The 24,108-nt window shown below is 42.1% G+C and overlaps 1 protein-coding gene across 2 annotated transcripts in view; it reads right to left on the bottom strand.

Moving 5' to 3' along the window:
* DEPTOR (DEP domain containing MTOR interacting protein) overlaps window positions 1–24,108 on the bottom strand; it is a 177,197-nt gene that overhangs the window by 117,952 nt on the left and 35,137 nt on the right. The window contains exons 2-3 of one of the 2 annotated variants that reach the window (NM_022783.4): window positions 4,389–4,567; window positions 3,029–3,152 (exon numbers count right to left, since the gene is read on the bottom strand). The exons of the other annotated variant lie outside the window; for it this stretch is intronic. Of the exons in view, the coding sequence (NP_073620.2) occupies window positions 3,029–3,152; window positions 4,389–4,567 (303 nt within the window). The remainder of the gene's footprint in view (window positions 1–3,028; window positions 3,153–4,388; window positions 4,568–24,108) is intronic. 2 annotated transcript variants of the gene reach the window in all.

Below are 24,108 nucleotides of genomic sequence, written 5' to 3'. Positions count from 1 at the left end.
CTTCTGCCCTCTGGACACTCTGGTCTCATTACTGCCCTTAAATATGTCCAGCACATTCCCATCTCAAAGCCTTTATCCTTACCGTTCCCTTTGCCTGGGATGTTCTTCCACCAGATATCTGCAAGGCTTCCTTTATTCAAATGTTGTCTCTTCAAAAACGTCTTCCCCGATGCCCCTATTTAAAGTACCCCACCACCCTCAGTAAGTCTATTTTTCTTTCTTGCACCGACGACACCTGTATTATACTCTGTCACATCTTCATGTGTCTGTGCCTTTAATGTCTGCCTCTTCAACTGAAGTGCAAGCTCATGAAGGCAGGGGCTTTGCTACAGGCATTTCTGGTGTCTTTAGCTGTGCCTAGCATGTGGAAAGGGCTCAATCTATATTTGTTGAATAATTAATGCATTAATGCATCTCCTGAAGGGAAAGAAGATGCTCAGAGATACACAGTGCTGTGTGACTGGCCCATAGGATGGAAGGGAGATCCAACAGAACATGAGGCTGGAGTAAGTCTGCTTTCTAGAAGATGTGAGCAACTTTAACTCTTCTTACTGTCTTGCCATCATAACTATCCCATTAAGCAATAACAGTTCTCTGCCAGACATTTTCAATTATAGCTGATCCCTGCCCCACAGTGTGGTTATGCAGATCCCAAGAGATAAGCTGTAGCTAGAGAAGAGTGTTATAGGTGCAGTAGCTCATGGCTGTAGTCCCAGTGCTTTGAGAGGCCAAGGCAAGAGGATCACTTGAGGACCAGAGTTTGATATCAGCCTGAACAACATAATGAGATCCTGTCTCTACAAAAAGTTAAAAAAAAAATAGCTGGACATGGTAGCATAAGTCTGTACTCCCAGCTACTTGGGAGGCTGAGGCAGGAGGATCACTTGAGCCCAGAAATTGAAGGTTACAGTGAGCTATGATAATGCCACTGCACTCCAGCCTGGGAGACAGAGCAAGCTCCTGTCTTTATAAAATAATAATAATAATAATAATAATAATAATAATAATCTTTTTTAATTAAAAAAAAAGGAAAAGCGTTTACAGAATCCACTGGCCTTCATCCTTGGAGATGACATGCATGTTTTGGCCAACATAGAATCATTGTTTGAAAGGAACATCATTGTAATTGAAATACCTAACACCTGCTAGAATTTTACAAAAGGAACTAAGAAATTAAAAGAAAGTAGCAACAAAACAAATGCACATGTTCAAGTAAACAAATGGAGGTTCTGATGGATCCCTTCCATTCAAATTCATGTGAGTCAGAAAGATGAGAGAGTTTCTCCATTTCAGTATAGAAAGCAAGTGATAGTAGACTGAGTACAAATTAGGACATCAAATGGTGATCATTCCACCTCAAGAAACGGAGACAAGAACTGGGACAGAGCGCATAACACAGGAAGGACACAGTCGAGGGTGGCCGTCAGTACTGTGCTCGTATTTGGAATGGCTATCATCTGTGAGGTCTTACTACACACCAGAGACCCTGAGCTAAATACTTAAGCACTTGACACAGCTATCGTTTAACTCCCACAACAGCACTAGGAGGTAGGTTCTATTGCTGCTGTCATGTCACTAATGAGGACACTGAGCTTTACAAAGGTAAGGTGACAGGGCTACACTTCAAACTCTGTCTGGCTTTTAACCATCATGCCAATTAATCTGACCACTCAGACACCCACCCAGACCCTTACCCCCAACCACTGTACAACAGGCTCTTTTATGTGACAAATATGTTTTGTTTTTTTTTAGTTTTGAGATGATGTCTCACTCTGTCACCCAGGTTGGAGTGCAGTAACGTGATCCCGGCTCACTGCAGCCTCTGCCTCCTGGTTTCAAGCGATTCTCGTACCCAGCCTACCAAGTAGCTGGGATGACAGGCACTCACCACCATGGTGGGCTAATTTTTGTATTTTTAGTGGAGACGGGCTTTCACCATGTTGGCCAGGCTGGTTTCCAACCCCTGACCTCAAGTGATCCACCCACCTCGGCCTCCCAAAGTGCTAGGATTACAGGCATAAGCCACCGTGCCTGGCCGATAAATACGTATTTTTCAATTCCCTCAAGTCTTGTAAGGCAGCCAGGGTTACAAAGCACGTGCCATTGCTTCTGCACCCCTTTTTCTAATGGTTGCCCTGGAAAACTAAATGAGGAAGGCAGAATGGTAAAGAGGCCACAGAAGTAGCAGATCAACCCAGAGATGGCCACTCAGAAGATTCGAGACCCACCAACCAAAAACTCCTGTGCTACACTATACTTATCTCTTGAAAGGGCTGAAACTTGTTCCTCATAGACATCCAGCTATCTGAAGTTCTCTCACTACTCATCTCCTGGCCTGACCAATTCCCCTGCTCTCGATGCTGCTTCTCCAGTCACTTACAAGCCTGAAACTCCAATTTACAAAACAACAGTATTTAAAAGAAAAAAGGGGGCCAAGCACGGTGGCTCACACCTGCAATGACAGCACTTTGGGAGGCCGAAGTTGGTAGATCACCTGAGGTCAGGAGTTTGAGAAAAGCCTGGCCAACATGGTGAAACCCTGTCTCTACTACAAATACATAAATTAGCCAGGTGTGGTGGCTCATGCCTGTAGTCCCAGCTACTCAGGAGGCTGAGGCACGAGAATCACTTGAACCCAGAAGACGGAGGTTGCAGTGAGCCGAGATCATGCCACTGCACTCCAGCCTGGGCAAGAGTGAGACTCAGTGCCAAAAAATAAAAAATAAAAATAAGAGAGGAAAGGGGCATCCACATCATTTGATGGTAAACAAAAATTCTGGAGCTTTGTAGAATCAACTTAAATACAGAAAATAAGATTTAAGTAAATTCTTTATTAAGAACCTTATGAAATTGACTTATTTTCTGGCAAAGAGACAGCAAATGCTTGATAGTTTTCTCATATGGAAAAGAACAGTTATGTAACCAGCCCACATAGAAAAGCCACGCTGAAATCAACATAATGAGACTGGCACAGTTCTGCTTCTTTCTATAAGTCAAGATTACAGGGGGGATTTCATGCGGAACATACTTTTCATATAGCCTCTGTCCTCTCATAAAGGCCTTCACTTCATTATCCAATGGGAAGGTGCCGTCATCCTTTCTAAAGCGGTAGAAGAGTTTGACATCCTTGAATTCCTTATGCTCATCACACACTGAAACACAATATGCACAGAGAAGCAAATGAGAAAAAAAATCGCTCTTATTTAATTACTCAAGCGAAGTATGATGCTAATTAAGAATTATTTCACTATCACATTCTTCATGCATGCAAATATGTACCATATGAGCTAATACTTGTAAAATAGTTACATAGTACTTGGTACAGAGTAAGTCCTCAGTATTTTTAGCTATTATTATCACCATCACCATCACCATAGTCATCATCATCATCATCATCATCATCATATTTAGGAAGTTCACACAATTCAATTCATCATGCAATCCACAAATTCTTCTAAAGCATATTGGGGCATGCATCAGCCTCAAAGAATGTGAAATCTAGTGAGGTAAGGAGAAATGTCAACTGTAATTGAAATATGGTGTGATAAGGCTACAGAGGTAAGGAGAGAGTGCAATGGGAGCCCAAAGGAAGAGTACCCAGTGCCCCAGGAACACAGTGACACAGCTTTTGAAAAAGAAAGCTTCCCTGAAGAGTTTTCATGTAAGTGGAGACCTGAAGAATGAATCGAAATTGGGCAAAAAATGAGGCGAAAGGGTATTCCAAGAGAACGATGGCATGTGCAAAGGTCGAGGCCAGGATGAGAGATTTCAAGAAGACATGTTGGTGAATCTTCATTGAACCCACTGAGAGTAACAGCAAAAACTTGGAAACCATGTAAATGCCCACTGAAAAATGTATAGTGGCATAATTATACATATGTATTATACAACAGCAAAAATAACAAATAAGACATATACTATCAATGTGGATGAAGCTCACAGTGTGTTGATCAAGTTGCAAAAGCATAAATATGCACTTCTATAATGATAGAAAACTTTTAAAACAATATGATGCATTCCTTAAAGATGTATATACAGACAGGTATAAAGCAGTACATAGAAATAACCCAAATGCCAGCTGGACACAGTGGCTCACGCCTGTAATCCCAGCACTTTGGGGGGCTGAGGCGGGCAGATCACCCAAAGTCAGGAGTTCGAGACCAGCCTGACCAACAGGGTGAAACCCGGTCTCTACTAAAAATACAAAAAAAAAAAAAAAAAAAGAAAGAACCCAAATGCCTCTTAGAGGCAGGAAGAAAATGCAATCAGGGAGAGGTACACTGGAGATAAAATAAAGCAAAATGTTTTCTTTCTTAAGTGGGTATGTTCATGAAAAGATCTAGTCCTTCCATTTCTCTCAAGTCACCTTGACTCGCCACCGCACTCACCATGGTGAATAATGCCCCGGTCTGCTAATTTCTGCATGAGTTTAATTGCCGTCTCTCTGTCAGAAGCCTCTTTGTGTTCAATCAGCCAGTCAATCAGTTCTTTTGCGACAAAACAGTTTGGGTAGGTCTTGAGATGATGACGTCTATCTTTAATAACCTTTTCTTCGTGCAGCCTGAGCCTGAAAGAAAAATTAGCAATTACTTTGGAAATTCTGATGACAGCACAAATTATTAAACCAATCCCAGACAGTAATAACATAACAGAAGTTCTAAAGGCATGAAGGTGTCATTGAATATCTTTAGCTCGCTTGGTGATTTCCATACTGTCAGAGTTCAAAGGCTCCAGAAAGTGACTCCAGCCTCTGATCTAGATGACAGAGGTAAATATGAGGGTGAAACAATCACAGCCAACCCAGAACCCTCCTGCCACTCCTGAGAGTGAGAAAAGCTCTCCATCCCCTACTCTGCCTCACTCCCTGCTTTTTCTCTCTCCAGTGGGGTTATTGTTTCAACCAGCAAACAAAAACCCTAGAAATGCACTGAAACAAAGTGCACCCTCTTTATCACAAATTGTTCAGGGCCCACCCTACTTGTAGTCATTCATTCATATAAAAAATATTAATGAATGTCTACTACCTGCCTGTTAGGTACTTCTAGGCACTACAGACATACATCAGGGTGTGGTGGCTCATATCTGTAATCCCAGCACTTTGGGATGCTGAGGCAGGAGGATCACTTGAGGTCAGGAGTTTGAGACCACACTGGCCAACAGTGAAAACCCATCTCTACTAAAAATACAAAAATTAGCCAGGTGTGGTAGCAGGTGCCTGTAATCCCAGCTACTCAAGAGGCTGAGGCAGGAGAATCGCTTGAACCTGGGAGGTGGAGGTTGCAGTGAGCTGAGATCGTGCCATTGCACTCCAGCCTAGGCAACGAGAGTGAAACTCCGTCTTAAAATATATATAATATATATATTTATATATATATAATATATATGTATATATATATGTATATATGTGTCTTGAGCTACTACTAGCCAATCTTGCCATCATAAAGGAAGAATCTGCCTAGAAAGAAATACAACACAGAGCAAAGTGGACCAGATAGATAGAGATAAAGGGATAGAGACAAAAGAGAGAGACAGAGAGATTACAAACAACTCTATTTGAGCACCTGAATTCAACAGTTCATGAAGCCACCTAACCTGGGTTTAAATTACATGAATCGATACATTCCCTGTGCTTTAGTGAGTTTATTCAGGTATCTGTTACTAATACCAATATTGTCCCAATACACCCTCGAGCTGAATGCTAGCTTGTGGCTCCATGGCACGGAATGTTGCCACAGTGGTGCCTTCAGAGACCACGTAAACGGCCAGAGCTCTGTACTCTGCACCCAGTGGTTCCAGAACTTCATAGGGTCTGTTTCTCATTCTCCTATCTCCTTTCCCTGTCCTGCTGTGATATGCATATGTTGTCCTTGTTCCTAAACTCAAGCAGTTCCCCTAATCTGCTGTTTCTCTTCTGCCATGGTCTGCTAAGTAGTCAGTATTTAGGATTTAAAATATTTTGAGCAAAAGCCTGATATGAACATCTACGAAGAAAGAAAATGAGCATTTTGGGCATGGAATTTATGACATCTATTTTGGTCACTCAAAGGCTATCTTATGTGCTTTATTACTGCTCTTTGGCTGAGTGCTAAATAATTGGGAATGAATGTTAATGATGCTTATTTACTGTACAATGTTCTACCATCTGCAAATATTTATTATCTAAAACTTAAGAGTCAAGTCATACTATAGGATTGGCTAAGGAAAGGACATAGCAATGAATCCACTAGTAACAGAGATGAGGATATCAGTGATATCAGGAAAATACTAAAGGAGAGGTATCCAGTAGACCCAGAAAACATTCTCATAAGATGGTGGTGATAGAGTAGGGCTGCCAGGTTTAGTAAGGAAAAACCAGACAGGAAACCCAGTTAAATTTGAATTTCAGATAAACAGCAAACCATTGTGTAGTAAAAGCTTGACCCAAATATTGCATGGGACCTACTTATACTTTAAAAAAACAATTTATTATACTGTATCTATAATTCAAATTTTAGAGGGCACTCTGCATTTTCTGACAACCTTATGGGGGATATATTTTATTAACCTTGAAGGTTAGTACATTAGGATTAATGTTTTATGCTAAAAAAGAAAGGAAACTACACTGATGCCAGAAGACACTTTGAGTCCTTAGGGCTTCCTCTTCTAGGGAAAGCTAGTTGTGTGATTTTTTTAGAGCACCTGAATCATCATGTTTATCTGAGTATTCCAGAAGATACTTCAACCCATGTGCTTGGAGCCAGACTAGGCTTCATTTGCCAGGGACCAGGTAGGAAATGGGAACTGTAAAGATTATAAATTGGTAAAGCTGGTGGAGTGAAATCGGAGCACAGAATCTCCCTTTCTTCTATTAAGGAAAATAATTTTTTAAAAAAACAGCAAACAGAAGTAGCCAGACAAAGAAAAAGAAACCCTAACTACATAAATGTTTTTAATTGGCATCCTAATCAAATTAATGCTGGAACAGAAAACCAATACCACATGTTCTCTCTTCTAAAAGGGAGCTAAACATTGTGAACACATAGACATCAAGAAGGAAACAACAGGCCGGGCATGGTGGCTCACGCCTGTAATCCCAGCACTTTGGGAGGCCAAGGCAGGTGGATCACTTGAGGTCGGGAGCTCGAGACCAGCCTGGCCAACATGGTGAAACCCCGTCTCTACTGCAAATACAAAAATTAGCCAGGCACGGTGGTGCATGCCTGTAATCCCAGCTACTAAGGAGGCTGAGGCAGGAGAATTGCTTGAACCTGGGAGGCAGAGGTTGCAGTGAGCTGAGATTGCACAACTGCACTCCAGCCTGGGCAACAGAGCAAAACTCTGTGTCAAAAAAACAAAAAGTAAACAGGCAACAATAGACACTGGGGCTGATATGGTTTGACTGTGTCCCCACCCAAATTTCACCTTGAATTGTAATAATCCCCATGTGTCAAGGGCAGGGCCAGGTGGAGATAATTGAATCATGGGGCAGTTTTCCCCATACTGTTCGCGTGGTAATGAATAAATCTCAAGATCTGATGGGTTTTTTTTGTTGTTGTTCTCGTTGTTGTTGTTTTTATTATTTTCGTTTGTTTGTTTTTGAGGCAGAGTCTCACTCTGTTGCCCAGGCTGGAGTGCAGTGGTGCAATCTCGGCTCACTGCAGTCTCCACCTCCCATGTTCAAGTAATTCTCCTGCCTCAGTCTCCCAAGTCGTGGGGATTACAGGTGTGTACCACCACTCCCAGCTATTTTTTGTATTTTTAGTAGAGACGGGGTTTCACCATGTTGGCCAGGCTGGTCTGAAACTCTTGACCTCCAGTGATCCACCCACCTCGGCCTCCCAAAGTGCTGTGATTACAGGCGTGAGCCACCACACTCAGCCTTGATGGTTTTATAAATGGGAGTTTCGCTGCACAAGTTTTCTTGCCCACGGCCATGTATCTTCCTTTGCCTTCTGCCATGATTATGAGGCTTCCCCAGCCATGTGGAACTGACAGTCCATTAAACCTCTCTCTTTTATAAATTACCTAGCCTCAGGTATGCCTTTATTAGCAGCATGAGAATGGACTAATACAGGGGCCTACTTGAGTGTGGAGGGTGGGAGGAGGGTGAGGACCCAAAAACCACCTATTGCCTACTATGCTCATTACCTGGGTGGCGAAATAATCTGTACGCCAAACCCCTGCAATATGCAGTTTATTCATGTAACAAACCTGCACATGAATTCCCTGAAACGAAAATAAAAGTTGGAAAGAAAAAAATAATAAAATAAAAATAAATGAATAAACAAACAAACAAAAGGAATCATGATATAATAAAGTGATTTAGGCCTGTTTTACCGATAGGGTAGATTAGCCTTAAAATACTCTCCACCCATTGAAATGACCAAAAAAAGTCTTTGTAATTTTTGAATAAAGGGAAAAGATGAAAACATAAATAAAGTAGCAGCCAAAAAAATAAGCAGGAGATTTTAGAGTGGCAAGGTAAGGCAAGTAGACTCTCACCACCCAGAAGCCTTGTTGCTAAGTCAATGAAATCCTCAGAATTTTCATTAAGAACCCCAAAGTTTGAAGGAAAAAAAACCATAAATAACTGAGTTTTCTGTCTTCTGATTAGGGACAGTTGAAATGGCTGTTGGGGAAAGATAGGTGCAATGAAGGAGATGAAGAACTAGACCTTTTCTCTAACAGTGAAGCCTCCCAAACTCAATAATAAATTTGGGGACCATTGCAGCAGCAAAAATATCCCTCCATAGCAGTGGGATCCATCTCTGACTATGTGAAATGAACCCTAGGACAGGAAGTTGAACAACACCTCAGAAGCAAGACTCTCTCCTTCCATCACCAGGAGCCCTTAAGCTGTAAAACAATGGAACAAATAATTAGCTATCAAATTTAGCTCAGAGGGGAAAATGACATTCTGAGATGACTTAGGAAGGTGCTAAGGAGATGTCACCTGCCTTTATTTCCAAGCACAGATAGAGTATGGACAGATTGAAAGCATGGACAAAACTGTCTGCATTAAGCATAAACATCATGGGGAAAAGCAAACAGCTATGTGATACTGTGAAGCAAAAATAATACCAAAAAAAAAAAAGAAAGAAAAAAGAAAAGAAAGGAAAAACAGAGGGAAGGGAAAAAGAGAGCATTCAGTAGATAAGAAGAACCCTGTCTGAAAGAAAACACAATTCAAGAAACAATTTCCTTAAAGTGGTCTGAACTATAAAAAATTTTAAAACAATTTAAAAAGAACATAAAGTCAAGAAAATAAGGATTCAAAGATAAAATAATTATGAAGAGGGAGATATAGATCTTGGAAAATAAATGGATGTCAGACAGTTTATCAAGCAAATTATAAACTGTCAGGACAAATAAATCACATAGCTGAAAAATGAAATTCTTATTGAAAAAATACTTCAATAAAGAAGAAAAAGCAATTAAAGCAGATAGGCTGGGCATGGTGGCTCACACGTATAATCTCAGGACTTTGGGAAGCCAAGGTGGGAGGATAACTTGACCTCAGGAGTTCAAATCAGCCTGGGCAACATGGCAAAACCCCATCTCTACAAAAATACAAAAATTAGCTGGGTGTTGTGGCACACAGCTGTAATCCCAGCTACTTGGGAGGCTGAAGTGGGAGCATCACTTGAGCCTGGGAGGTGGAAGTTGCCGTGAGCCAAGATCATGCCACTGCATTCCAGCCCGGGCACCACAGAGAGACCTCATCTCAAAAATAAATAAATAAATAATAAACAAATAAATAAATACAGCAGATAGAGGTTAATAGATGTGGAGATTTTTTAAGCCACTAAATTAATTTATAATATTACCTCAATATACATAATAAGTCTAAACAAAACCAACTAAAATAGTCTCCAGCACACAGCTCCAGGGAAGACCTAGGTGATCTTCAGAACAAAAGAGGTGGCAGGAGTATTTCCCAGCAAGCCAATGAGGTTCAGTTCTTCCTTTTGACAACCAGCCCATGTTCGGGGATGGTGTTTCAAGAAGTGCAGACCCACCAACTCTTCCTGGGTCTGAAGTACTTCCTGGAGAGAAGCACTACACACTATCCCTACTGTCCCACCAGGGCCTGCTACATTTCCACTCCACACAGATTTGTTCATTTCTGACTATCACAGATTTCACCCCAAAATGTCAGTTCTGAGGATAATGAGAAAAACGGGATTAGGAATACAAAGACTTGGTTCTCACCCTGGTGCTGCCAGTAACTCTACAACCTCTGAGCATCAGAGTTTTTACTGGTAAAATGAAGATAATCTTATGCATCTATGTGCTAGGGACAGTTTGAACTGCTTTATGGGCATTAATCCTCATAACAACTCCCTGAGGCAGTCAATTCTAAAACCACAAATGATACCTATGTAGAGTTGTAATTATTAATAATAAAAACTAAGCACCAGCTTAAAAAAACAAGTTTACATACGGTGTGCTAAAGTCATCCCATGAATCCTTCTAATTAATTCAGTGACAACGACACTGAGTAATTTGTTTAACATGCTCAGAGTGGCAGAATGCAAAATATTAATTCTTAGATGTGATGTCTGTCAGGAATCCAAGAATAATGAAGACCAATTTACTTAGAAATTAAAATGTGGAACAAGCTACTATGTAATTTGTTATATATAGTAGGAGAAGGACTATATTATGAGCCAAGAGAAGAGTTTTAGCTCCTGTAAACTTTCCAACCTAAGAGAATTATTAGATAGTATTTATCTTTTTTTTTTTTTTTGAGACAGTTTCACTCTTGTTGCCCAGGCTGGAGTGCAATGGCGCCATCTTGGCTCACTGCAACCTCCACCTCCTGGATTCAAGCAATTCTCCTGCTTCAGCCTCCCGAGTAGTGGGAATTACAGGTGCCCGCCACCATGCCCAGCTAATTTTTTGTATTTTTAGGAGAGACGGGGTTTCATCATGTTGGCTAGGCTGGTCTCAAACGCCTGACCTCAGGTGATCCACCCACCTCGGCCTCCCAAAGTGCTGGGAATTACAGGCCTGAGCTACTGCGCCCAGCCTATTTATGTTTAAATACTACAAAATAATTAGCCGGGTGTGGTGGTGTGTGCCTGTAGTCCCAGCTACTTGGGAGGCTGAAACAGGAGAATTGCTTGAACCCAGAAGGCAGAGGTTACAGTGAGTCGATATCATGCCACTGCATTCCAGCCTGGGTGACAGAGCAAGACCCTGTTTCAAAAAACAAACAAACAAACAAAAAAAAAAACTACAGAATAGAACCTTTCAGTTACCATCCTTCTATGACCCTGGAGCTTAGGGCTAATTCTTGAACATTCCTGATTTCCACCAATTCCCTGCAAGGGTAGAAGGGGAGAAGCACTACACACTATTCCTACTGTCCCACTGGGTCCTGGTACATTTCCATGTTTAAGAAAACTGAGTATGATGGGGGGGAAATAATTTTGGATCCAGGATATAGCCTAGAACTCAATATTTTTAGACATGTCACCGGGGTTAAAATCTATAAGAACTGTGCTATTATCTTTTTTCTTTTGTAGTCAGAAACACAGACTTCTAAAAATGAGCTTTGAAAATTGTATATTCCAGAAAAACTATCCCAATAAAGAGATAAAAATTTTCACACTGCACACGTATGTGTTTTGCCTGGCACAGCAAATACTTAATATTTGGTGAACAAATGAATGTATAAGGACACTAATAGAAATGATGTTATTTTCAGCTGGGCATGGTGGCTCACACCTGTAATCCCAGCACTTTGGGAGGCCGAGGCTGGTGGATTGCCCGAGGTCAGGAGTTCGAGACCAACCTGGCCAATATGGTGAAACCCCATCTCTACTAAAAATACAAAAATTAGCTGGGTGTGGTGGCACATGCCTTTAGTCCCAGCTACTATGCCGGCTGAGGCGGGAGGATCCCTTGAGCCTGGGAGATGGAGGTTGCAGTGAGCTGAGATTGTACCACTGCACTCCAGCCTAGGTGACAGAGCAAGACCCTGTCTCAAAAAAAAAAAAAACCTCAGTGCTAAAAGTCATCGAGGAAACTGGACCATTAGGAAGGAGAGGGGAGTGGGGGCAGCACAGAGAAGCCAAGAAAGCAACAGGAAGCCCCTGAAGCAGCAAATGAGGGATGCAAGAGGAACAAGTTGCAGGAGTTCCTCAGATCCTTAGAGTTTTCCAGTTTCTCTTCCAAGCCATGTGCACTCGTATAATAACCAAGACACTACCAATCCCCTCAGGGGGCTGAGTGGGACTCGACTCCCTGGATCCAAAAGAACCTCACCTACCCAGGAGCTAAGGAGGCCTTCCACCCTGACCCTAGATCGCCTCTTGAGCTTCCTTGTCTCTCTCACCTCCCAATCACATGCATTCCTGCTTTGTACTCTGAATATTCTGAACTCTTCTTCAGCCTCTGAACATGCTAATCACCCTCCATGCCTCTGCTTAGAATGCTCCTTCTTCCTGCCTTCAATAATTCATAACCATTTGACTTATCTTCAAGGGTCAGCTTTTCAAGGGCACCTCCTCTGTGAACGTTTTCCCAGCCTTCCAAAGCCAGAAAACAGCCTTCTCTCTCCTCTATTGTCCCACAATATTTTAGCGCCAACAGTAAAGCATTCATCGCACTGTATTACAACTAGATGACATTAGGGATACTAAAGGGGAGCTGCTTATTTATTGTTGCAATTCTAGTGCATAGCAAATAGTAGGAGATAGAAATCTCATTGATGTGAAAGTTAATTCGTGCATATTATGTATTCAGCATGGTGGGAAGCATAGATAGAATAGTTTTCTGAGCAACAGAGTCCCAATCACATTAAACCATTGGGAAGAGTGACCATCTGTATTTTAGCTGCATTTTCAATCCCACTGGCTATGAAATATAAATTAAGAAAAAAAAAACCTTCCTATTATTCATCTCAGACAGCTGGTTCACAGGCTTTAGATTCAAGGTGATTCTGTAATGTTCTATTCCTGTCCAGCTAACCAGCTGCTGAAATTGCATCAGACCATTTCCTCTTCCAGCCCTAAGAGAACAAACATTACTGGGTGCAGGGTGTTAACAATACCTGCAAAATCACTGTCCATCTGATAAGAAATGTAGAAATTGTTTTTCAAAAATAGCTTGCAGAGAACTGTGGCAGATTGTGGGACTCAGGGAACAAAGGGGAGATTGAAACCACATATTCTCATTTTAAAACAGCGTCATAAATCTCAGCCAAAGTAAACAGTTTAACAAACACAGCAAGCCAAATAGTGGGGCTGACAGTGTGAGCCTGTGATTTGGGCAACAGTACTGACATAGATATGCTTTAAACTACAGCTCTCCTCCTTTCCAGATGTTCTGCAACAGCCAATATCTGTCCTTGGGGATCTGAGAACCCAGGGAAAGTCACTCTTTATCACACACCGTTGAAAGACTCTGAGTCTAAAAGAAAAAAACAAAATGGAAATATAATACACTGCATTTCCTTTTAATATCTGAACTTATTTTCTAATTCAGATTTTAAATTATCAAAATAATATATCCTCACAGTAGAAAATAATTCAAATATATATAAAAATGAAATTAAAAGTCTCTTTTCTCGGTTCAGATGAAGAGACAATTATTAAAGCTGGGTTAACTGGCAATGAACTGATCATTGCTGAAGCTAGGAGATGGGGACATAGGAGGTCACTATATGTTTCTACCTACTGTGCAAAAAATATGTTTCAGGCTTTCCTCCACCTCCACTTTCCAAAGGAACCTAATATAATAGCTGCCTATGTATTCTTACAGAAATCTTCTAGGTATGTGTACACATATGGCTATATTTGTATATTTTTTACATGAAATAGGATCATAATACACATTTCATGTAGTTTTGCTTCAAGAAAATGCTTGAATTCTCCCAACCTGATCAGAACAAAACAACAAATACAGATAGAAATAAGAAGGAAAGAGAATAGAACTGGTTTATATAAACAGAGCACAGGTGATTCTGTAGGGCCAGAAGCAATTGGTCTTGGACAACACACACACATACACATACACACACACACACACACACACACACACTCACTATGCAAATAGCTGCAGTAACCACTTCATAAGGTATTCCATGGCCAGGCGCGGTGGCTCAGGCCTGTAGTCCCAGCATTTTGGGGGTCTGAGGCAAGCAGATCACCTGAGGTTGGGAGTTCGAGACCAGCCTGACCAACATGGAGAAACCTTGTCACTACTAAAAATACAAAATTAGGCTGGGCGCGGTGGCACACGCCTATAATCCCAGCACTTTGGGAGGCCAAGGAGGGCCGATCACAAGGTCAAGAGATCAAGACCATCCTGGCCAACATGGTGAAACCCCGTCTCTACCAAAAATACAAAAATTAGCTGGGCATGGTGGCACGTGCCTGTAGTCCCAGCTACTCGGGAGGCTGAGGCAGGAGAATCACTTGAACCCAGGAGGCGGAGGTTGCAGTGAGCCGAGATTGTGCCATTGCACTCCAGCCTGGGCAACAAGAGTGAAATCTGTCTCTAAATAAATAAATAAATAAATAAATAAATAAATAAATAAAGGTGGTCCATGCCAAATGTTTCACTAGCAATGGCTCTGTGAATAAAAAACAAGTCAGAGTCCTAACTCCTATACAGAGCCCTTCCAGGACTCACGTCAAGTTAATACAAAGCAAAGTTCTATGCAACCTCTGTGTCTTGTCACTGCAATGGATTGAGAGGATAAACACACCCAGGAAGTAAAGAGGTGGGTTGCCCCTCCACACCTGTGGGTTTTTCTCGTTAGGTGGAACGAGAGACTTGGAAAAGAAAGAGACACAGAGACAAAGTATAGAGAAAGAAAAAAGGGCCCAGGAGACCGGCGTTCAGCACACAGAGGATCCACGCCAGCCTCTGAGTTCCCTTAGTATTTATTGATCATTATTGGGTGTTCCTCGGAGAGGGGGATGTGGCAGGATCATAGGATAATAGTGGAGAGAGGGTCAGCAGATAAACACATGAACAAAGTTCTCTGCATCATAAACAAGGTAAAGAATTAAGTGCTGTGCTTTAGATATGTATACACATAAACATCTCAATGCCTTAAAGAGCAGTATTGCTGCCCGCATGTTCCACCTCCGCCCTAAGGCGGTTTTCCCCTATCTCAGTAGGTGGAATATACAATCGGGTTTTATATCGAGACATTCCATTGCCCAGGGACGGGCAGGAGACAGATACCTTCCTCCTGTCTCAACTGCAAAGAGGCGTTCCTTCCTCTTTTACTAATCCTCCTCAGCACAGACCCTTTACGGGTGTTGGGCTGGGGAAAGGTCAGGTCTTTCCCTTCCCACGAGGCCATATTTCAGACTATCACATGGGGAGAAACCTTGGACAATACCTGGCTTTCCTAGGCAGAGGTCCCTGCAGCCTTCTGCAGTGCTTTCTTTCCCTGGGTACTTGAGATTAGGGAGTGGTGATGACTCTTAACGAGCTTGCTGCCTTCAAGCATTTGTTTAACAAAGCACATCTTGCACAGCCCTTAATCCATTTAATCCTGAGTTGACACACCACATGTTTCAGGGAGCACAGGGTTGGGGGTAAGGTTATAGATTACAGAACAAAATGGAGTCCCCTATGTCTACTTCTTTCTACACAGACACAGTAACAATCTGATCTTTCTTTTCCCCACAAGGAAGGAAGCATGTTTCATTCTGAATCTCATATATCATGTACTGTCTTTGAAATCAACATGGAGTATTAGCAGAGTGAGACAATGTAACACATATAAGAGGGCATGTTTGCTCATTTCTGTTTGCCAACATAATTTCACAAAGCCCTTGACTCTAATAATGTGTAGCTCTCTAGAAAGATACTTTGAAGACGAAACAGGATAGAGCACACAGCCCCGTAGATCTCTTGCCGGAGTCACTGTACACTTTAAAAGATAAATGAGGCCCCACACCATGGCTCACGTCTATAATCCCAGCACTTTGGAGGCCAAGGCTGTCAGATTGCTTAAGCCCAAGAGTACGAGACCAGCCTTGGCAACATGGTGAAACCCCATCTCTAGCAACAAAAATTTAAAAATTAGCTACGTGTGGCGGCACACGCCTCAGCCTGGGTGACAAATCCAGACCCTGTCTTAAACAAACAACCGACCAAATAAATAAACAAATGATAAAGGACTCTAGTCCTTGCCTTTTCCTACCCATAAGATAACATCTGAAGGGGTTAGTAATTATGCCTCTGTAATCTACAACCAGATGCACTCTTACATCCAAACCTTGCTGTGATTCAGCTTAATGTAATTTCTGAACAAGTCTGATGTGATTTTGCATGTACTGAACCTCCACCACCTGTATATAAGCAATGGGCTGAAATACTGTGCAGGGGCAGTTGGATAGAACCTTTCTAAAGGGCTGCTCCTGAGCTGCTGACCCCTGTCTATAGTCCTCAGTAAGCCTTCCAAATAAAACTAACTTTAATTCTTTAAAAGCTTAACTTTTTCTTTGGTGGACAGCAGACATAGTAACAGTAATAACCTTACATCTGAATGGCACCATAATACACTATCAGAGCTGAGCCTTATAATATCCCTGTTGGCTGGGCACCGTGGCTCGTGCCTGTAATCCCAGCATTTTGGGAGGCCCAGGTGGGTGGATCACTTGAGGTCTGGGGTTTCAGACCACCCTGGCCAATATGGTGAAACCCCCATTTCTAAAAAAAAAAAAAAAAAAAAAAAAAAAAAAAAAAAATTAGCCTAGCCTGGTGGCATGTGCCTGTAATCCCAGCTACTCGGGAGACTAAGGCAGGAGAATCACTTGAACCCAGAAGGTGGAGGTTGCAGTGAGCTGAGATCGCGCCACTGCACTCCAGCGTCCACCCGTTATTCACTGTGTAACTTTGGACAAAGCATTCAACTTCTCAGTGCCTTTACTTTCTTATCTGTAAAATGGGAATGATAGAGAATGTCTCATAGGGTTATTGAGAGGATTAAATGAGAGTCAGATTTTGCCAGAAGTGCCATCAAGAGGCCACTAAGTAGCATTTCAGCTTTTTTTTTTTTTTTTTTTTTTAACAAATGAAGTCCTGAATCAAGGAAAAATTGATTGGCAATTACTGGAGAGACTTGGCTGTTCTCTTTTGTTAAAGGATTAGAAAGAGAGCCCTTCTGGTGGAGTGGTAAGTCAAAGCAGAGAAAAGTCCAGGTGAGAGAGTACTTGGCCACTCCCTACTGCGAGGTTTGCTGGAATCAACCTCATCTCTTCTATGGTATCAACCTAACTGATAACCAAAATCACTGAATTGTCTTAACTGGAAAGAAATGTCAGGCAATCTAGTTCAAGTCCTTGCCAATATCACTGTTTTACAGCTGGAAAAACGGAGACTTACAGAAGTTAGGTAACTTGCCTCTTTTCCCAGATAAGAGTTAAACCTTGACCTCCTGACTGCTACCAGAATATTGGTTGAGCGCCACTGTGGAAACAGAAGTTGCTAATCTAGTGCTTTAACCAAGAGTGGACTGCTGATGAGAGAGCTAGCCTAGAATCTGTTTGTGACAGCCCTGCAAGTCATTTCTGGAAACACCCAGATTATACTCACTCTTGAGAAAGACACTGCATTGCCATGAAATGTTTAGTCCTGGAAACTGAAAACTTCTTCCCTGAGAAGAAACAGTCTCAGGGACAATTTTAGACAAAGACAAAATATATAGAAAGATCAAATATAAAAACATTATTTAAATAATAACTAAAATAGGCTGGGCGTGGTGGCTCATGCCTGTAAGCCCAGTGCTTTGGGAGGCTGAGGCAGGCATATCACGAGGTCAAGAGATCAAGACCATCCTGGCCAACATGGTGAAACCCACCTCTACTAAAAAATTAAAAAATTAGCTGGGCGTGGTGGCACATGGCTGTAGTCCCAGGCATTCAGGAGGCTGAGGCAGGAAAATTGCTTAAACCCAGGAGGCAGAGGCTGCAGTGAGCTGAGATTGTGCCACTGCCCTCCAGCCTGGTGACAGGGCGAGACTCCATCTCAAAAAAAATAATAATATTGCCCAATATACCACCCCCTCATGGAATATAAAAAATACACACCAAGTAATCTGCAGACTGCTGCAACTATTATAGTCAGAGAAGGTGAGAGCAGTAATTCTCACAAATAGACTGTGTTAGAATCACCTGAAGGGCTTGTAAAACACAGAAGGCTGAGCCCCACCTCCTACGGTTTGTAATTCAATAGATTTGGGGTGGGCCCAAGGATTTGCATTTTTCAAAAGTGCTTGGGGGATTGGCAAGCTCACGCCTGTCATCCCAGCACTTTGGGAAGCCCAGGCAGGCGGATCACCTGAGGTCAGGATTTCCAGACCAGCCTGGCCAACATGGTGAAACCCCGTCTCTACTAAAAGTACAAAAATTAGCCTGGCGTGGTGGCAAGCACCTGTAATCCCAGCTACTAGGGAGGCTGAGGCAGGAGAATCACTTGAACCTGGGAGGCGGAGGTTGCCGTGAGCCAAGATCGTGCCACTGCACTCCAGCCTGGGCAACAGAGTGAAACTTCATCTCAAAAAAGAAAAAAAAAGGCTTGGGTGATGCTGATGATACTGATTAGGGACCACACTTTGCAAACGCAGGGGGTTGGAATGAAACAGAGCCAACATTGCATTATGAAATAAATAAGAGGGTGGGCACGGTGGCTCATGTCTGTAATTCCAGCACTTTGGGAGGCCGAGGCAGACAGATCACCTGAGGTCAGGAGTTTGAGACCAGCCTGGGCAACATGGCAAAACCCCGTCTCTACTAAAAATACAAAAATTAGGCATGGTGGCACTCGCCTGTCGTCCCAGCTACTTGGGAGGCTGAGGAAGGAGAATCGCTTGAACCCAGGAGGTGGAGGTTGTAGTGAGCCAAGATCATGCCACTGCACTCCAGCCTGGGTGACAGAGCAAGACTTCTCAAAAAAAAGAACAAAAAAGGAAAAAAAAAAAAAGAAAAGAAAGACTGGGTAGGTATTAAAGCCATTCCCATTTTGATGGGGAAGGAATTTAAACTAGGAAGCCTCATGATTTAGAAGGAAAAGCAGGAGGGCTTGTCCCGCTGATGGGACAAGGATGGGAAAGGATGCACAGAGGTGACGCTAGGGCATGGTAAGCCAACTTGACAATTGTCCAAGCCTCGATGGAACAACAGAAGCCAGGGCCTGTGTTGTCTCTAGGAGGAGTCAGGACACCTAACTGAAGAGTGTGCATTGCTGGTTTAGGTAACATGGCCTGGGGAGACCTCTCACCCAACTAAGACCTCAGCTTCCTGAGGAAACTGACTGGCTTTATCTCTAAAATCTCTCAACTCAAACTTCTCAGGTTTTTATGGACACCCTGATGAACCACGAGAAATAAAAACCTTTTATCTGAGGAATATGAGCCCCTTTAAATTATCAGGCTTAGAAAGACATTTAAAAGGTAACAGCAGTCACATCCCACTCTCACTTGAGCTAAATAATTACCTCTTGAAGCCACTTACTTTGTGGGCTATAGACTGACACTAAGTAGCCATAAAATGCCATACACCCTGTAGTTCAACAATGTACAGCCAATCACCAATCAATGTTATTTCTGTAAACCAGTGAAAATGCCTGATGAACAACTTTTGTCATTGCCCCCTCTCTTTGTTCGTCCTCTTTTTTCCTTAAAAATGTGAACCTCTCTTTTGTTTTCCAGACCACTCCCCAGTGCAACTTGGAAGTGCCTGGTGCTGCAGTCCTCAAACTTTGAGCTTGAATAAACACTCTTTAAACTAGATTCTGGCTGGGTGCAGTGGCTCATGCCTATAATCCCCAGCACTTTGGGAGGCCGAGGCAGGCGGATCACTTGAGGTCAGGAGTACAAGACCAGCCTGGCCAACTGGGTGAAACCCCATCTCTACTAAAAATACAAAAATTAACTGGGTGTGGTGGTAGGTGCCTGTAATCCCAGCTACTCGGGAAGCTGAGGAGGGAAAATCTCTTGAACCCAGGAGGTGGAGGTTGCAGTGAGCCAATATCGGGCCACTGCACTCCAGCAGGGGCAACAGAGCAAGACTCCATCTCAAAAACAAACAAACAAAAAACAAAAACAAAAAAACAAAGCTAGATTCTGATCCTTTTTATTATTTTAGGTTGACAGCCTCTAGGATACATCCTCACACACAAGATCAAAATAGAACCAACTGTGTTGGGCACATTTTGTACTGAAAAGATCTACCGTAAGCCACAAGGCCAGGGAGCACAAAACAGCAAATCTCATTTCCTTTGGGCTTCCAAACAAGGATGAACACATTAAAGTGAATCTTGTGCTAAGCATGCTGTACAAACACTGTGTAGGGTTATGATCATCTATTTTCAGTTCACAGGACAGACGCTGAGGCTGCCAAAGTGCCACAGGCTTTGAGTGTTGCACGTCTATAACTTGAGAATAGACAAGGTTTCTCTGGATTTAAAAATATTTCAAATCTTCAGAAGTGTTCTCAGGAACATCCGCAGCTATCGCGGAGGCAGCTTGCAGTTAAGGGGCTTGCAAAAATTTCTCAACCGAAACACATTTATTGATTCCCAACTGCATACCTGGCATAGCTTAAACAACTGTTCATGCTGGCCCAGTTTCTGGAGTTCAAGGATTATGTAACTGAAACAGGTGTTGTTTCTTCCAAATGGAAATGTTGTATTCTATATGTTAGGGAATTGTGTGTGTGTATGCCAGTCAAAGTTTCCTTAATATGTTAAAACTCAATCTATCCAACATTATTTTCCTCTTCCAATTTTAGCCCAATCCTTCCTTTCTGCCTCTTCCCTATATTTAGGCTACTCCCTTTTCAGAATATGCTCTCCCTCTTTTCCTATTTATCCACCAAATTCAAATGCCTCAGCCTTCTTCCATGATGTGTTCTTTCATCCAACAGATATGATCTACTTTCTAAAATGCTCATGTTTACCTATATAATATTTTGTATTACTTTAATCTTATTTGCATTAATTCTCTTCAATTATACTACAAATTTGATGAGTAAAAAACTATCTCATTCTTCTTTCATATTTCCCAAAATGTGTGGGACAGGGCTTAGGGTAAATGACACTTCGTGAGTATAAAGGTTTGGATTTTCATCTTTGTTTCAGTCTGGACAGAAGGAAACCATAGTGTAGTACAGAATGCAAACCTTGAGCCTCTAGTGTGGGGTCCTTTGATAGCTGTGTTCATAGCTGTCATGTCCATGGAAGAGAAGGACTTCAGAATGTTTCTGCCATCACCTTTCTATTAATATGAAGAAGTATTTGGACTACCCGTGTGTGTTTAGTTCCACTGGATAAGAAATGTTACATAACCCTTCCTTCAGAAAGGAACATGTTATTCTTCACAGAATGTGTACACAGCAGGGGCCAGGCACGGTGGCTCAGGCCTGTAATCCTAGCACTTTGGGAGGCTGAGGTGGGTGGATCACCTGAGGTCGGGAATTCAAGACCAGTGTGACCAACATGGTGAAGCTCTGTCTCTACTAAAAATACAAAATTAGCCAGGCCTGGTGGTGCATGCCTGTAATCCCAGCTGCTTGGGAGGCTGAGGCAGGAGAATCGCTTGAACCCGGGAGACGGAGGTTGTGGTGAGCCAAGATCACGCCATTGCACTCCAGCCAGGGTGACAAGAGTGAAACTCCGTCTCAAAAAAAAAAAAAAAAAAAAAAAAGAATGTGTGTACATAGCATGGTCCTGGCTGTGGCTGAAGCTCTGTCTGCTGTCAGGATCCAGGCAGGTCTGGATAGGTGTAGCTCAGGCTGGTTCACAGGGCACTCCAGGAGACAATGGATAGCTGAGCAAAGAAGTCAGAGCATTAGCTAGCAGGGAAATTGATAGAAGGCCACGGTATCTGGTCAGTCCCAAAGATAAACAGCCAACACTGAAGGTGCTCCTGTTCACTAAAGTCCTGTGAGGCAATGGGTGGAGGCAGCTCTGCTGTGTTGAAAAGATAAAACAGCACCCACCAAAAATGCTGAATACTGAAAATCTCAGACGCAGTGATGGAAACATACATACACAAACATACACACACACACACCCCTCTAGGAAACAAAAAAGTCACAAATGATCCCAAACCACTCCACATTAAGCATTTTGGGGGTTAACTATCCCTTACTCATCATTAACTCACGTAGTCAAATGTTTAGGCCATCTTTGGTACTCAATGCAGACATCAAATACACTTGGTACTGTGATTTATTTTTATGTCTAACAGAATGTGAGTTAAAATGAAGCCTGGGGGCTGGGCGCAGTGGCTGACACCTGTAATCCCAGCACTTTGTGAGGTTGAGGCGGGTGGATTACTTGAAGTCAGGAGTTCGAGACCAGCCTGGCCAACATGGTGAAACCCTGTCTCTATTGAAAATACAAAACTTAGCTGGGCACCTATAATCTCAGCTACTAGGGAGGCTGAGGCAGGAGAATTGTTTGAAACCGGGAGGCGGAGGTTGTAGTGAGCCGAGATCGTGCCATTGCACTCCAGCCTGGGGGACAGAGCGGGACTCTGTCTCAAAAAAATAAAAAATAAAAAATAAGGCCTGAAAAAAAATTCAAAAACCCTAAAAATTTATATTTCACTACTGACAATGTAGAAAACAAAAATGTTTCCCAGGGCTGCGTAATAAAATGCTATTTCACATATCTGACCACCCTCAGGAAAATCTTTTCTATGTCTGTTAGACACAGCCAGTGAAAAGCACCTTCTGGTAATCTGTATATTGGCTTATGCCAGGTTTGCATTTTCCCTTTCTTAACATAGGTGCTCTGACTTTTGCAGGTGTTCTATATACTTAGAGTCAAATTTTCAGACTACCTGTTTCCCAATGTAGCCCCTGAATACTCTTGGTATATGCCTGTATATGATGAGGCTTTGGTAGATAAAATTTCATATATCTACATACACCTCTATCTGGATCTCCAGGTCACTTAAACAGTTTGAGGATCAGAAAAAAATACAAGAGGCGCCAAAGCCATTATCAACAGCCAAGTGGAAATTTATGTCAGGTGTGAGTGAGACTTTAGGTGGTAGCTCCAGATTATCCAGTGTTCTATGTATCTGATACCTAATGAGGTTCTACATAATAATAAATCCAAATTTCATGTGCTCAGCACATTATGGCTTATTAATTACCTCTACATACTGCATCTCATTTGCGAAAACTTGATTTGGCAAACAAGCATGTAACCTAGTTAAGAGATGATTAACCCTTGTCTGTAGATGAGAAGAAGGTTCACTTCTGGTGATTGGAATTGGTTATGAATAGTTTGTAAGTGGCAAGGCCACACACAGAATCTAGAACTTAAGATTTTTCACTCATCAAAACTCATATTTGAAAGAGCATATTTAGTCTTATTAATATTTCTGCATGGTTTGCAATTGTTTACATTAATGGTTTTATCTGTAGAGTTAATTTGCATATTTACACCTTTCATGCCACCCTAAAGGCTCTGTTTTCTCTCTGTAACTTTCTACTTTGCTATGGTAGATAGGCAGGTGTTCAAACCCTGCTGATGCCTATATAAAGACAGAAAATTTAACTCTATTTAGAGTCCCAAGAATGCTGACAGGGTGCCAAACACCTGTGGCTACTTATAAAATACAGCACTCATTAAGCCAAAGACAGTGTCTTCTAAAGATAGCTAGGTAACTAAAGATTTCATCAGTTATCTGTCGCATTCTCCTGACAGCTGTCATTTGAACTGGGGTGGCACTTGGCAAGAACTAAAAAGTCACACTCTATTAATTAGGCTACCAGAGGCAAGGTAGGGAAGCTGAAAGAGGACCCTTTGGAAATCATTAAGATTCTAGAGAGCCTTTGAAAGTCTTTTCTCAATTTAATATAATCACACTACTGCACCTGTCTCCAATATCTTTCCATCCTAGCATTTGTTATTGTGTGAGATGCTAGGAAGCAAAGCCAATACGACAAACTCTCACTCCAGGCACCAAGAAGTAAATGATACTTGTGTTCTGAGAATTAGTGGGCTGGCTGTCATGGTTTTTAAATGAGGCCCTGGCATCTATTTTAGCCTAAGGCTCTGTTCCTTGGTGACTCTGATTTACATCACAGTTACATTTGCCCTGGAGGAATCTGATAACTCTCTGATTTATTTTTCCAATGA

Source organism: Homo sapiens, chromosome 8, assembly GCF_000001405.40.
Source record: "Homo sapiens chromosome 8, GRCh38.p14 Primary Assembly".
NCBI classification, from domain to species: Eukaryota; Metazoa; Chordata; class Mammalia; order Primates; family Hominidae; genus Homo; species Homo sapiens.
The sequence above is the reverse complement of the archived record's forward strand: the minus strand, read 5'-3'. Positions and strand labels throughout refer to the sequence as shown.